Genomic DNA, 15,320 nt, shown 5'->3' on the forward strand with positions numbered 1-15,320 from the left:
GAGTCTGGGTGGTTTCAATCCTGTCCCGACTGCTCACCTGCTTGTGAGAGGCCACTCCAGACACCAGCTAAGGAGGCTGCAGGGCCCAGGAACAGGCGCAGCGCTCCTTGTGAGGAGCCGGCAGTTCAGGTTTCACCATCAAAGCTCTTTGCCTCCTCTTAGCATGCTCTGTGCGTCTGGGCCAGACACCAGTCTGCCTGCAGCCCGTTCACACCGGACTCGGGCAGGAAGGAGCTGGAGCACAGCCACCTTAGCTCAGCGCTCACCTCAGGGGCACCAGCCCCGCCTCCTCCACATCCCAGACCCCTGCTCTGGGATGTCTCAGGTCTTTGTCCCACAGTAGGAGAGGAAAAGCAGCCCGGAGGATCCCATAAGAGACCCGTGGTGCAGATAGAACAGCTGATGCTGGGTTCCAGCGTGGGCCTTGCCACTTCCTGACCACGTGGCCTTCGACAGGTCACCTGCACCCTGTATCTGTCCAAAGCGACACAGTTCCCCTCCCTCAATGGCTTGCCCTGGGAAGATGGAATGAGGACCCAGGCAGGGCATTTAGCACACAGCAGAGACATTTAGCACGCACGTGCCAGGTCTTTCTGGGGGGGCCTTGATTCTATGTTACTGTCCACAAAACGTACAGAGTCCCTCCTCTATGCTGGGTCTGGAGACACCAAGGAAGTACAGGTGGTGGTCTTTGGTATCGAGGACAAGGCCTCAAGTACTGCTTGGAAAGACAGAGCAATGCCCAGGGCCCCAGGGCTGCAAGGAGCTGAAATCTACTACACTGGCCTAAGCCAAGGCAGTAGTGACCAGCCCAGGAGGAGGCCCATGGTGCCCAAGGCAGGTGCAGCCCAGCCTCAGAGGGCCAGCCTGGCAGCCCCTGTTCATCCTCTGCACTTCCCACGGGCCCCATGGCACCTGAGCCGACGTCTCCCCCTGCGCTTCCAGCTGCTGGTTCCCAGCCTGACCACCATCTCAACCCTAACGTTCCGGGGCTTTCTCTTCCCATCTGCGTCCCCGCCGGCAGCTCCCTGCAGCCTTTCTCTGTGCTTAGCTCTGTCGCTGGTCAGTCACTCCAAGCTCCAGCCACATAGTTCCAGCAGCCACCTAGAGGTGTCCATGTGGAGGTCCCATACTCACGTTGACCTCAGCACATGCCGAGCTGAATGAACCATCCTATCTCAAGCCCTAAACGGCCCCTCCTCCTCCAACCCTCCCATCTCTGGGATAGCTCCACCATCTCCCCCTAGAGTTAGCCACGGCCCCCACCTGGAGCCCTTTGGGATCGCTCCATCTGCAGCTGGACAGTTCTGTCATCTAACTGTTTTCAAACCCGGCCACTACATTCTCTTGTTGCTGCTGTGGTATTATCAGTTCTGGCCTCAAGCCCTCTCAATTGGATCGCAGCATCAGCCTCCTAGCCACACCTGCCTCCCACATCACCCTGTCCCCTGTCATTCATCCCCCACACAGCCCAGATCCAGCCAACAGGACTCCTCCACTTACTCTGCCCTCATCACCCTAGGAATGAATGCTGAGTCCCCACCATTCTGTGCCCCTCCCTCCTGGGCCTGGCTCACCTCCCACTGATGCCCCTGCTGAATTATTTGCAGCTTCCCAAACCCTTACCTCTCATATGCCTCCCTACCTTTGCACATGCTATTCCCTCTGCCTAGAATGCTTTTCTCCCATTTTTCTACCTGGAAAACTCCTACTCATCCTTCAAGACCCTGTTCCTGCACCTCCTCTGTGATGTCCATCCGGATGTCTTGGAGGCAAAGGTAATCAATGATTCTCCTGTTCAAGCTGCCTGTGCCTTGCACAGGGGACCACATGTCGCTGCATTGCAGCCACCTGTACCTCTCATTAGATTATGTGCTCCTGGAAGAAGGGGTCCATGTCTCTTTTTTTTTTTTTTTTTTTTTTTTTTTTTTTGAGGTAGAGTCTCACTCTGTCGCCTAGGCTAGAGTGCAGTGGCGCAATCTCGGCTCACTGCAACATCCGCCTCCCGGGTTCAAGCGATTCTTCTTCTGCCTCAGCCTCCCAAGTAGCTGGGACTACAGACACCCACCACCACACCTGGCTAATTTTTGTATTTTTAGTAGAGATGGGGTTTCACCATATTGGCCAGGCTGACCTCAAACTCCTGACCTGGTGATCCACCTGCCTCAGCCTCCCAAAGTGCTGGGATTACAGGCGTGAGCCACCACGTCCAGCCCCATGTCTCATTTATTATGCCCTCCCCCACCATTGTATACCCAGAGTGCCCAGCACAGGCCTGGAAAAATGGTGGACATCAGCAAATGCTCTCTGAATGAATTCCTTACACTGGATGAAGTAGACAGATGAACTAGACTCAATTGCTGAGGAGCCCCAGAAGGACAGACACCAGCAATACAGGGCCTGTGATGCCCAGCGGCAGGCCTCCCTGGACACACCCCGATGCTGGCCCCAGAGAGATCAGACAAGGATATGAAAGCTGAGCCTTGTCTGGTTCATCTCCGAAGCTGCAGGACCCAACACGGGGCCTGGCTGCAAGCTGGCATCAGTCCATGGTGATGATGGTGGGACAGGAAGGTGAACTGCCACCGGCTGCTGTGTCTCTTTCTAGAACCCAGCTCTGGGGGATGTCAGAGAAAGGGAGGAGGTAGATGGGTCACAAGACCCAACACTAAAATGGCCAGGGGCTTGGATCTCAGGGACTGGAGAACTTCAGAGATAAGTTGATTCCAAATAGATATGGATAATGCACATAAAAAAAAATTAGGAGCATGGCTTGCTTCATGAACATGGGCATCAGAAGCCTCAATAAAGTCTTTTTTTTTTTTTTTTTTTGAGATGGAGTTTATCTCTTGTTGCCTAGGCTGGAGTGCATTGGCGTGATCTCGGCTCACTGCATGCAACCTCCGCCTCCTGGGTTTAAGCAATTCTGCAGCCTCAGCCTCCTGAGTAGCTAGGATTTCAGGTGCCTGCCACCTCATCTAGCTAATTTTGTATTTTTAGTAGAGATTTACCATGTTGGCCAGGCTGTTCTCGAACTCCTGACCTCACGTGATCCACCCGCCTTGGCCTCCCAAAGTGCTGGGATTACAAGCATGAGCCACTGTGCCTGGCCAAGAAGCCTCAATAAAGTCTTGAGCAGAGTGAAAGGTGGTTGGGTGCCTAGACGACAGATGGCAGAGGTCAGTTTTCTGGCTATGCCCATTCATCCCTTCCACGTTGCCCTAGGTGGGTCATTTTCATCCATTTGCAGGTTGGGGAGGGGTGTCAGCAGAGGGCAGCACAGGCGGGCAGCTGCCTGGCCCTGAGCCCCCTCCTCCCCTCGCCCCACACCTTGGGTCATGTTGCTGCAGAGACACAGGTCTTGGGAATGGTGGTGCGGGGGCAGAGGTCTGGGAAGGCCCTGAGGGCTGGACTCCTGATGGGGAGGGCACATGGGCAGAGGTTGGCACAGTTTGGAACACCCAAGACACATCCATCCCCAGCTCCTCATCCTTCTCTGGAGCGGGCACAGGGTTCTCAACTTCAGCTGCACATTAGAACCTTCTGAGAGTGGGTTAGAATTCCTGTGCCCAGACCCACACCCAGACCAATCAAACAAGAATCTCTCTCTGCAGGAGGGACCAAGGAGTCAGTAGTGTTCAAGCTTCCCAGGTGATTTCAATGTGCAGCTGAGAGTAAGAACTCAATTCTGGCCGGACTCGGTGGCTCACGCCTGTGATCCCAGCACTTTGGGAAGCTGAGGCGGGTGGATCACGAGGTCAGGAGTTCAAGACCAGCCTGGCCAAGATGGTGAAACCCCATCTCTACTAAAAATACAAAAATTAGCCGGGCACAGTGGCAGGTGCCTGTAATCCCAGCTACTCGGGAGGCTGAGGCAGGAGAATTGCTTGAACCCAGGAAGCAGAGGTTGCAGTGAGCCGAGATTGCACCACTGTACTCTAGCCTGGGCAACAGAGCAAGACTCCATCTCAAAAAAAAAAAAAAAAAAAAAAAAAACAACAACAACTCAATTCTGAGCTTTCACCACTTCCCCAGTTACATGTTACCAGCCAGTGGAGCTGAGTCCCAGGGAACTATGAATTCCCAGGGGCAGGTGGAAGAACAGACATCAGAAGAGCTCATCCACCCAGGGAAGACAAAAAGCTGAGCAACCCACACCAGCAGAAGCAGAAGTCATAGACCAGCCAGAGCATGAGTTAAATATAAACAAAAGGCATCCTCCAAGAGATGTGGGAGGACCCTGGGAACATTGGGCAGGGAGAAGTTGTTTGGAATAAGAGCCTGTCAGTTTTGAAATACTGACAGACCTAGAGAGACAAAAACAGATAAGCCAGTAATTGCACTTGAAGATTTTAACACACCTCTCTCAGAAACTGTAGTCAAATTGCCAAAATATGAGCAAAGATATAAAATGTTTGAATAACCTGATTAACAAGCAGAGAACTTTCAACCTGGCATAGATCCCATATCCTTTCAGAATCAACTAAGAACTAAGCCACTAAACAAACCTCAATAATTTCCAAAGAGCCAACGTCATATCTAAAACCATCTCTGATCATACAATGAAAAAATAAGAAATGTAAAGCAAAATGATAGCTTTTTAAAACCACACATGATTGGAAAATGCACTACAATTAAATAAGAGGAAGCCATAAGGGAAATTATTAACATCTTAGAGGAAAATAATAATGAAATCACTACATATCAAAATTTGTGGGAGGCCAAGCATGGTGGTTCACATGTACTGTAATCCCAGTACTCCAGGAGGCCAAGGCAGGAGGATCAGTTGAGGCCAGGAGTTTGAGACCAGCCTGGGCAACATAGTGAGATCCTGTCTCTACAAAAAAATTCAAAAAAAAAAAAAATAGCCAGGCATGGTGGTGTGCTCCTGTAGTACCAGCTACTTGGAAGGCTGAGGCAGGAGGACTGCTTAAGCCCAGGAGTTTTAGGTTACAGTGAGCTATGATTGCACCACTGCACTCCACTCTCCTGGATGACAGAAACCCCATCTCTAAAAAATAAAAATAAAAAAATTGTGGGACACGATTGAAACGGTAGACAATGAAATTTACAGTTTAAATTTATCCAAAAGCAAGAAAGATTGAACATAAACAAGCTACGCTTTTAACTGAAGAAGATAGGAAAAGAGCAACAAGTAAGTGCAAAGAAATAGGAAATAATGATAAAAAGAATCGATGAAATCAAGCAAACAGAAATTATGAACAAAGTCAAAATTTGGTTCTTTGAAAAGACTAAAAGAGACAAACTTCAGACAAGGAGAAAGAAGAGGCAAATAAGAATTAAAACAAAAGATAACTGCAGATATAACAGTTAACAGGAATATTATTAGTAACCATGTATTAATTACCATATATCTGGAAAAATATAAAATGTCAAAATTGGTATAAGAAAACTAAATACCCTGGCACAGTGGCTCACACCTGTAATCCCGACACTTTGGGAGGCTGAGGTGGGTGGATCACCTGAGGTTGGGAGTTCGAGACCAGCTTGACCAACATGGAGAAACCCCGTCTCTACTAAAAATACAAAATTAGCTGGGCGTGGTGGCCATGCCTGTAATCCCCGCTACTCGGGAGGCTAAGGCAGGAGAATCGCTTGAACCTGGGAGGCAGAGGTTGTGGTAAGCCAAGATCGCGACATTGCACTCCAGCCTGGGCAACAAGAGCGAAACTCCGTCTCAAAAAAAAAAAAAAAAAAAAAAAAAAACATAGTCCAATTTTCAACCTTTTCCTCTATGATCGTTCTTTCTGTGTCTCGTTTAAAAATCTTTGCCTATCCTCCCAAACCCTTTAAAAAAAATGTTTGGCTTTTTTTCCTGCCAGTACCTTCCCTGGAAGATGAGTGAGGAAGGGTTTCTGGAGGAGGCAAGGTATGCCCTGAGCTCTAGAGGGGGCTGGACTAGGATGTGTTTCCCAGGGAAGGTAAGCAAATGTCAAGGGGGGAGGTATTTCATTGTTCACTGGGCATCAGCAAACGTTTACAGAGGACAGCAGGGGTAGCCTTCTGTGTGTCATCACCACAGTCCTGAAGTTAGGGATGGCCCATTTAGCAGATAAGGAAACTGAGGCTCCAGAGAGTGCTCAGAAGCACACAGTCAGACAGGGGCACCTCAGGGCCTCCAGCCCAGGCATGTCCAACTCCAGTGCCGCTCCTGGCGCGGCCTGGATTATGCACACCTGGAAGGAGGTGTCCTGTCCTGTGGGGTTAAGGTGAGGATGGCTCATGAGGTGAGACAGGCCCAGTTCAGGGCCCAGCTTAGTCACCTCCCTTGATGTGCCCCTGGGGCTCTGGGATAACAGCAGCCAGCAGCAACCAGGGCTTTCTGGAGGAGGAATTGAGCAAACCCATTACATACTTGGCCTGGGGCAAGGCACACGGCAGGGGTGGGGGATGCAGCAGAGGGCGTTTGGCCACGGGGAAGCCCCACCAGGCCCCTCCACGGGCAGGAAGGGAGACTGAGGGTCTGAGGTCGTGTGAGCTTCCTCCCCCTACCTGTCCCCTGGCCTTGTGCAGAGACTCAGGAGCACGCTAGCAATCTGCTTCCAGGCTAAGCACCAGCCCCAGTTAGCTCAAGAGAGCTTCCCGCTGAGGAAGAGGGATGATGTCGGGCCAGGTCTCCAGCACCCCACCTCACTGACTGGGGGGCGCTCCCTAGGGTGGGTCCTGGCAGGGGCCAAGACCACCTCACCTCCCGCAGGCCCAGGAAGAGGCACTTCGCAGCGAGGCAAAGCCCCTTGGAGTTCCATTGCCCAGCGAGAGGGCCCCAGGAGGTCTCTGGCCTGCTTTCTCCCCTGGAACCCAAGGGTTCTGGCACCTCCCTTTCTAGGTTGCCCAGCAGGGTGGACCTCCAGAGCCGCCTGCACGAGGCCCCTCCCACCGTGCCGCCCGCCCGGGACCCCGCCCTGCGCTCCGCCCCCAAACACGGGTTCTCACGCGGTCCGGCCGCGCGGGGGCGCCCGGCTCCCCGGCCCTCGCTGGGCCCTGCGGGAACGCCCCGGCCGCGCACTGGGGATGCTCGGACCCCAGCACACACGAGGCGGAGCTCCGCGGACTGGAGGCAAATCAATCCCTCGGCACCGCGCTACGGACGTGTGTTTGGAAGGAGGCTAGCCCGCCGCGCAAGTCCCCGCAGCGCCCCGCCGGCCTCCCACCCCCTGCGGCGTCCGGACCTCGTGGACCTGGGGTGGCTCCCATAGACTGCGGGGCCGGGCCCAGCCGCGCTCGCTTTGGTCGGGAATGCGGGTCGACTGGAGAGGCCCGAGCAAGCCCCCCAGCTCCACCCGCCCCTAAAGGGTGGGCTTGGGCAGTCACATCAGGAGCCTCAACATTCACATCCGGAAAATGGGAAGGTCAACAGTCCCTCCTTTAAAAGGTTTCTGAGAAAGTTAAAGATGTATCACTATTGCCCAGCTTCCAGTCCTTAGGCAAGCCACCTGCGCCCCTCCCTGAACCTCAACTTCCCCCGCTGTAAAATGGGGATAAGAAAAGTCCTCCCCTCAGAGGGCCATTGTATAATACGATGAGCTTGGCCCACGCTGCTGGGCACCCCCTGAGCTCTCAGTAAATGGAGCTATTGGGGTTATGCCCGCTCAGCAGAGGCCCCACCTGCAGTCCCAAGCCTGTGCCCCAAATCCCACGGGTTGCCATTTAGGGACCCAGGCCCCCCAGTTTGGGAGCTGGTGGCTTAGAGTGGGTGCTCCCTCCAGTCCCTGGCTGGAGTGGGGGACTCGCTGTGCAGCCACAGGTGTCTGGGCAGGAGGCTTGGCGGCAGTGCCCCTCCCCTGGCTGCCCTTCAGGGCCCGCTCTGGTTGAGCCACACGGCAAAAACACTCCGCTTTTTGACACCATCCAGAAAATGAAAATGTCCCAGGCGCCTAATCCTTCCCTTCCTTTTGGCAACTTAAACTGCCCTGAAACACAGCCAACATATTGAACGCAGTGTGAGCGTCCACGCCAGAGTGTAGGCCTCCCGCAAAGCCAGCCTTGGGGACTCGTGGAGCAAAGCCTCGTTCCTCTGTCAGACTCTGCCTTACTAGGTACGGAGTGACCCTGGCCCCCACCAGCCGGCATCTCAGCCGCCTTCAAACCCGCCGACCTGAGGGGCACGCCAGCAACTCTGACTTCCTTCCCAGCCAGGGCTGTGCCGCCCCCACTCCCCCCCAGAAAAATATTTGAAATGGTCTTTGACTGAAATGAGATTAATCCTCAGTTCCCTGACAGTGTCTTTGGGCATGTGTTTTTATAACCTCCCTTTCAAATGAGAACCATTTGTCGCCGGGAAGCTGGGGAGGCCCTGCCCCAACTGCTGGGCCAGACATCACCGGCACCTGATTGAATGTCACGGACAGTGCGAGGGGTCAGGGCTGAGGTGAGGGCCGTGTACTCAGGGCCAACTGTCCTCTGCTGGTCTCTGGCTAGGTCCCCATCTCCAGCCAGTGGCGTAAACTAGAGGATATGAATTCCAACCTGGATTCCCCTTACCACCACAATATGCCCTTGAGCCGGTGGCTTTGCCTCTCTGAGCCTCACTTTTCTCATCTGTAAAATGGGGGAGATGATGGTCCCGTCACTCAGGTGATAGACACAGCCTAGTGCCTGAAGACAATCCACACTTGATGTTTGCAAGGCTTTTGAACACAACCTCAGCTCCCTCAGAACTCCTGGTGGGAGGGCAGAGTACCCCCAGGCTGGGGCCTTCCAAGGGCCGCAAACGTTCATTCTAAATGTGGTTCGAGTCTCCTACTCTTCCAGACTTGGCTCTAAATGAGAGGCCATGTCGGCAAAGAAGCCGAGTTGCTGATGCTTGCCTAGGGAGAGAGCTGTGCGTAGAGGTGCCACCATGCAGGCTAATTAACTCTGAGCCCTGGCTCGGTGGCCTCCTCTCCCGGCACAATCCCCCGCCACCCCCACCACTCCAGGTCCTGTTTGAAGTCTGCAACACCCCCCCCCCACCGCCCCCCTTCCTGCCGTCCCTGCTTGCTGAAGCAACTACAGCCCCTTAGGGCTCAGCTGGGAGGGATTTATTGGAGAATTTCAATCATGGGGTCTTGGCTCAAACTTGTTGCTTCCTCAAAAATCTCCCCAGAAGTTGGCTACATGTGAAACTGAGGCATGAAGGAAGGACTCGGATGATCTCACGGTTCGGAACTCCACCTGGGCCTGTCAGAGAATTCATAGACCCTCACTTGGAGGAAGAGAGCACAGAACAGCAAGAAAGATGCAGGTTCCTGGGACGATGTGGAGGTACCGGGCTTGGTTCACTTTTAAGGAGCTGCTTAGAAATAGTGTTTCAGCTTTGACCACCACTCCCGCCCCCAACCATGACACTTGAGTGCAGGTGTCTGATCTCTGCGGTGTAAGCCCGCTATTGGTCTTAGGGTGGGAAAGTGTGGGATGGAATCCTGGTTGAGAGTCCTGAATGGTAGAATAAGGGACCAAAGCCATGCTGATGTGCCATTTTTCTTAAACTGTGTGGCTTCCCTCCCCAAAGACATTCCCTGGGCAGCTTTCAGGCTAAGGAGCCCACGCCCTTCCACGGGAGCCCAGCCAAGAAGGGCCCGGGACAGAGGCTCCATGCATGCTTCATTTTCCTTCCCCTCTGGGCAGGGCTGACTCATTCCATTTCTCTGAACAATCTTTGCAATGATGGATAAGCTGAGGCCCCAAATGCCGTGGCTCTGGAGAGAAAAACCATCTTTCGCAGTTTCACATAAGCCTCCCACTTCTTTCTTAACAAGTGCTGAAAGCGGCACAAACAGAAATACCCCGGACTCCCATGACCAAGGAGATGACTACATCAGGCTGCAGGGCTCAGGAATAGGAACTAGCGAGCCGCGCGGCCCCAGGGCGAGGTGTCCGATTCCCTCCCAGGATGCTCAGCCAACGGCGCTTTGAAGCCGTGGCTGAGGCTGCCGCACTGGGGAGGAGTGGGACCAGGGGCCGGGCCTCCCCTGCACGATGTCCACAGATTCACCGAGATAAAGGAACCGCAGCTTCATCCAACTTGTGCTGAATCGCTCTTTTCAAAAGCCCTTTCAGATGGTTTCACTTCTCTGCCCGCTTTGTTGAAAGATGTAAAAATTTCAAACCACCACAAAGTAAACATTTCAAAACCCTCTCTTTTCAAAATCAGTCACATTTTCAAAAATCTCTTGAATTCCATCCCCCGCGCCCCACTTCGTTTGCTGTCTTTGGAGTGTTTTTCATTAATTTAGAATCAGTCCAGGTAAAGCTGGTGTTTTCGAGCCGTGTTTTAACGGGCGGGAAGTGGCTTTGTTATTTAGTAGATGTGTTAGATAAGTCGATGTCTTGTCAAAATCAAGCAGGTTTTCTTTATTAGGGTGAGAGCGTAATGAACTCATCTGCTTCTAATATTTATAAAGAGAAGAGAGGCCATTAATTCTACTGCTTGTGAATAAAACCATCTGTGATTTCTTTCCATTTGATGGGTTTTGGTTTTAATATACATTTTTCACAAATAAGCACAGAGATTTTTTGGTGAAAATGTCACATTCGGAATCTCATAAAGAAAGAATGCAAAGAGGGGAAAACTAAATGTTTTGTTAGCTAAGTCATTTCTCACCTTGCAGAGTGGGGAACACTTGAGCCAACATTAGCACATTAGGTGATAGACTCGTCGTTCCCCGCTAATGCAATCCATGACATGTGACAAGGCAAACCTCGTCCGTTTTGAAGTTTGTTTTCCTTCGGGAATTACACAGTTCGTTTAACCTAATCTGTCCTGACACTTGAATTATAATATTATGAGCTTCTTCAGGGAAGTAAAACAGTAGTTGCCTGCTTAAAAGCAAAGCAGAAGTTAATAAAGTGGGCAAAATGTCAAGGAAAAAGGGCTAATCGAATCATGGTGTCATTCTCTAGAGAAAATATAGTCAAGTTGTATTTTTTTTTTCCAGTGGAAATCTTGGACGCCTAATGACATATTTCTGTCCAGGAAGAAATTTGAACTCTGAAGCCGAACTTGATTAAACCCCAAACCGAGAGACCTTGCCCAATGGGACCACTCCAGGACTTTGACTTCTGGGTGTCAGAGCTTAATTAAAATATTCATCCAGCTGCTCTCCACTCGCCAAGGGGGCCCAGAGGAATTAAACCAATAAGCTTAATTCTATTAGTTCACCTGCCTGTGTACATAGACATGCGGAAGACCATTTACTGATTCAGAAAAAAATCATCAGACCCACCCTATAAATTCAGCGTGGGCAGCCATCACTGCAACAGCAACACGGTCCCCCCAGCAAACGTAACACTCAGCAATCTCGACTCCTGTCTCCGAACACACACAGCTATTTTTAAGACTCTTCCAAGAAAACCAAAATGCTAAACGGGTCAATGTAAGGATTGATGTGCGCGCATGTGTGTGTTATGATTTATGTGTCGTTTATAATAACATGTAACATTTACTTTGTGCCACAATGCCAAGCCTTTCTCATTCGTATCTCAAGGAAACTGTCACTTCCACTCTAAAAAGTCAACACTATCATTACCCCCACTTGACAGATGAGAAAACTGAGGCTCCGTGAGATGAAATGACTTGAAGCCCAGAATTGTCAGACCACACAGTTGGCTGAGCATTTAACCCCTAGTAATGAGGGCTCTACTGAAATCCGGATCTTTGTTTTACATTGGAATTGATGTCTTGTCTGCCATGCACACACCTAGTGTAACATTTGGAAGGTACAGAAGCTATAAAGTGAAAAATCAGCCTCACATCATCCCCACCTCAGCTGCCTGTTCCCTCCCCCGGCAGCCACCGCGGACAATTTGTCTCTCCTTCTCGAGTGGAGGCTTATACCAGCCAATGTGGCTATGTCTCTTTTTGTAAAAACAGATATGGAGCATAACAGGTACGCTGTTCTGCAGCTTGCTTTTTTCATTTAATAATATATCTTGGGAGAGTTCTCCATCTCGTTCCTTTGAAGACTACACGTCATTCCATTCAATAGAAGGAGTACATTGGCCCCTATGGGATTGTTCATATTCAACCATTTTTGACCAGCAAAAAAAAAAAAAAAAAAGGCAATTTCACATGATTCTGCCTATATACCATAATTGTTTACCGAATCTCCTATGATGGGCGTTTGGTTAGGTGGTTTCACATCTTCTGCCCTTATAAACAGTGCCGTGATGAGTATCATTTGCACACACCAGTGGGTAATATCTGTAGGATAAATTCCTAGAATTGCCACTGCCTCTGTGACCCTGGATAAGTCAAGTTCCTTACCTTAACCCCGAGTGTGAAATGGAGCGGCCGCATTAGATGATTTCTGAAGCCCCTGCCAGGCCCTATTGTTCTGCAAAACTGCACTTCTCACATTTGTAATTCTATATCATAGCTGGAGATTACTCACCACAACCTTGTGAATATAACCACAGCTCAAGCTCAGGGTGCCCCAAATCACTGTGGAAACAAATGTTTTCCACCAAACGCTAACTCACTCCCTGCTGGCCATATTTGTCAACCAGAGAATGAGACATTTCCCGGTGATCAATACAAATGAAATAGAAATCTATCCTGGGCGGCGGCGGCAAGACTTGGTTTTTAATAAGGGAACCTCCAGAGGATATTGCATTCCTATGACAACGGCCGACAGACCTTGATTTTTAGTGTCAGAAGCTGTTGAATGCAAAGGTCTGTGGCCGGGGCCTGGCCAGGCGGTGGGTGCGGGGGTTCGGGCTGGAACCAAGTTGGTCCTGAAAGGCTGTTGCAGAAGCCTGCCGGCCGCCCCAGCCCACTGCCCATCCACAGCCTGCTGTGGGTCACCTGTTCACGAAGGCAGCCACATTTGCCAGCTGGGCTATGGTGGAACCGGCCAGGCCAGACAGCTAGCCAAAGATGATCCGTAGCCACAGATCTGGTTATTTACGGCTTGCCTGTGGTCCCCAGTGACCGGGCAGCTCTCGGATGACAGCAGTTCATCTTAAACAAGACCAGGTACTTGGGCAGAGGTGGCAGGGAGCACAAACGACCGTACTGATAGTCTCTTTTCTGGCTGTAAATTTATCTGGTAACAGAGTGACTCGGAGACACCCCGCATTACTTGCGGTTTGCGAAGTTTACAAACTGCCCGAGACAAACTAGGATATTCTGAAAACACAATTCTCACCCAAACAGCCGAGACAGTTCTGGGTTCCATCTCTTGATTCTTCTGCCTCTTTTAAAATTATCTGCCGATACAGACCAGGGCTGGGAAAGACGGCAGAAACAGGAAAACAGCTGGCATGGAAAGGAGATGGGATCGGCAGTGATTTATTTCCAGCGATGTGATATTTTAGGTTATTGTTATGTGTGTGCAATAAATCATATTTTAAAGCATCTGTTAATAGAGTGTTTTATTCTCAAGAATTAATTCTTTTTTAAAAAACTATTTCAAGTGGGTGGGTTGTTTCTTGAAGTTGAATCCTCAGGTTTTATCAAGAGATGTGACAGTGAGAACATGATAAGAAGTGTTTCCACTGGGAAATTTCGCTACTTAGAAAAGGTCTTGTCCTCGTAAAAAAAAAAAAAAAAAAAAAAAGTAGAAGAAAAACCAGAAAGGGAGCCGTAGAGGTTATTGCTTAAAATACTTTGTTTGAATATGTGTAAATGTATTTAGGCCTTTGGCTTTTTAACCACCAAATTCATGTTTAGGAATTTTAAGCACCACAATGAGCTTTCTCTCTGAGTTTCCAAAGGCAGCTCTCAAAATTGCGTCTACCAAACCTTTAAAATCAGGTACAGAGGTCCCCCACGGAAGGTCTTGGGGGATGATTACAACATTCCTCTGTGCGACACGGTAGCACCCGACCCGGCTCGTGTGCGCTCTCAGACCCTCTGTTGAAAGCAACTGACTAGGCTGTGGCTTAAAACTAATCTTGTCCTCGGCTCCCTGGCAAGAGGTCAGCAGGCAAGTCGGCCAGGAGATGATCCCCAGCCAGATCTGAAGGGCTCTGAGAATATAACAAGTTGTAAAAGGGCCGGGGAAGGGGGAGAGAGAAAAAAAGAAAAAGAATAAAGGCAAAATTAATTTTCACAATTAAGTATATTCTTTTTTTTCCATGTAGTTAATTTCCAGCCGCTCACATTTATTGCACATTAATTATGCATACAGCTTTTGTGCAACTTAAAAAGTGAGGAATGTGATCCTTATTCTTTTATGGAGGCTCCGGCTGCCGTGCTGGAGGCCTCCGAAGCTTCGGGTCAGAGGGGCAGGAGCTGAGTCCCCCTCTGCGAGCAGCCAGTGGCGGGGCCACCTCACCCCCAGCCAGTGCCAGGGATCTTGGATTCCCCCACCTCGACTTTCTTAAAAGTGTTTCCTACAGCAGGGGTGGTGATCGGGGGCCGAGGGGGCCTGGACGATTGGCTGGATGTGTTTCTGGGCCGAATCTTGGGGGAAGGAGCCTGAACTAACCCCTCACCAGCCTCTCCGTCAGCTTGCCCTGGCCAGTATCGGTGTTCAAGCCCACTGGCCCAGGCCTGGGTGTGAAAACAGTAATGTGATGAATGAGGCCTTGGCTGGGAGGCACTGGGGGCACATGTCCTTCCTCCAAGCCCCTCTGTGTGCCACAGGATGCCAAAGAGGTGGGAATATTAACTGGGCTGCGAGATGCTGCCCCCAGCCCCAGCCTCAGACTCCTGATGACCCCCTAAAGGCCTCAGGAAGGGCTGGGCAGGTGGCCCCTCTGCCAACATGCTGTGTGACACTAGACCAGTGCCACAGCCTCTCTGTGCCTTCTCCGAATCTGCATGGAAGTTCCTCTGGACACCAGCAGGCCCACGCCTCTCTCCCTGGGAGGGCTACTTGCACCTGATCCCCCTGCATCCAGCTCAGAACCCGCCAAAGAGGACCCTCCCATGTAAACAGATGTTAGGGTTCCCCACTTGGCACATCCACAGTGTGGGGCGCAGACAGCCCCTTCACCAGCTGCCCAAACTTCAGCCAAGAGCACAGACCCAGGAACCGGAGACCCCGCATCCCACCCACGGAGAGACCCTATGGGACTCAAGCACAGTTGTCCACATTGGACCAGGACCCTTGAGCTCTGCTCAGCGCTAGGCTCCCTGTGCCCCCGGAAGCATGCTCTTCCTCCTCAGCCCAGGAGCCAGATCACTTCATCAGGACAGAGCTCCCACCTGAACCAGGCTGGGTGATTTCCTATGCAGATCCTAAGCAGACAGAGTCAGGACCCTAACCCAGCCTCGCTGCCCCCACTGCTGTGGGCACTTTGGCTAAGGTGGCTCTCCATCTCTGGTCCAGTTCCTCATCCGAAAATGGGATTCAGAATTGGACACAGAGTTG

The 15,320-nt window shown here is 51.2% G+C and overlaps 1 long non-coding RNA gene across 1 annotated transcript, besides 6 other annotated features; it reads left to right on the forward strand.

The window, feature by feature from the left end:
- Positions 450-950: an enhancer, noted in NCBI's record as "H3K4me1 hESC enhancer chr9:129270146-129270646 (GRCh37/hg19 assembly coordinates)". NCBI's record gives its function as "activates a minimal SCP1, AML or CMV promoter by ChIP-STARR-seq in naive H9 embryonic stem cells {active_cell/tissue: H9 hESC(naive)}" and the evidence as "EXISTENCE:reporter gene assay evidence [ECO:0000049][PMID:30033119]".
- Positions 6,949-7,008: a silencer, noted in NCBI's record as "silent region_20288". NCBI's record gives its function as "represses an Ori minimal core promoter by ATAC-STARR-seq in GM12878 lymphoblastoid cells {active_cell/tissue: GM12878}" and the evidence as "EXISTENCE:reporter gene assay evidence [ECO:0000049][PMID:35858748]".
- On the forward strand, positions 9,044-13,357 carry LOC105376276 (uncharacterized). The gene is made up of 2 exons (XR_930358.4): positions 9,044-9,264; positions 10,938-13,357. It is a non-coding gene; the product is annotated as an uncharacterized LOC105376276 (long non-coding RNA).
- Positions 9,684-9,773: an enhancer, noted in NCBI's record as "active region_29016". NCBI's record gives its function as "activates an Ori minimal core promoter by ATAC-STARR-seq in GM12878 lymphoblastoid cells {active_cell/tissue: GM12878}" and the evidence as "EXISTENCE:reporter gene assay evidence [ECO:0000049][PMID:35858748]".
- Positions 12,254-12,760: an enhancer, noted in NCBI's record as "H3K4me1 hESC enhancer chr9:129281950-129282456 (GRCh37/hg19 assembly coordinates)". NCBI's record gives its function as "activates a minimal SCP1, AML or CMV promoter by ChIP-STARR-seq in primed H9 embryonic stem cells {active_cell/tissue: H9 hESC(primed)}" and the evidence as "EXISTENCE:reporter gene assay evidence [ECO:0000049][PMID:30033119]".
- Positions 14,064-14,564: an enhancer, noted in NCBI's record as "H3K4me1 hESC enhancer chr9:129283760-129284260 (GRCh37/hg19 assembly coordinates)". NCBI's record gives its function as "activates a minimal SCP1, AML or CMV promoter by ChIP-STARR-seq in primed H9 embryonic stem cells {active_cell/tissue: H9 hESC(primed)}" and the evidence as "EXISTENCE:reporter gene assay evidence [ECO:0000049][PMID:30033119]".
- Positions 14,565-15,065: an enhancer, noted in NCBI's record as "H3K4me1 hESC enhancer chr9:129284261-129284761 (GRCh37/hg19 assembly coordinates)". NCBI's record gives its function as "activates a minimal SCP1, AML or CMV promoter by ChIP-STARR-seq in primed H9 embryonic stem cells {active_cell/tissue: H9 hESC(primed)}" and the evidence as "EXISTENCE:reporter gene assay evidence [ECO:0000049][PMID:30033119]".

Source organism: Homo sapiens, chromosome 9 (assembly GCF_000001405.40).
Source record: "Homo sapiens chromosome 9, GRCh38.p14 Primary Assembly".
In the NCBI taxonomy this organism is placed as follows: Eukaryota; Metazoa; Chordata; class Mammalia; order Primates; family Hominidae; genus Homo; species Homo sapiens.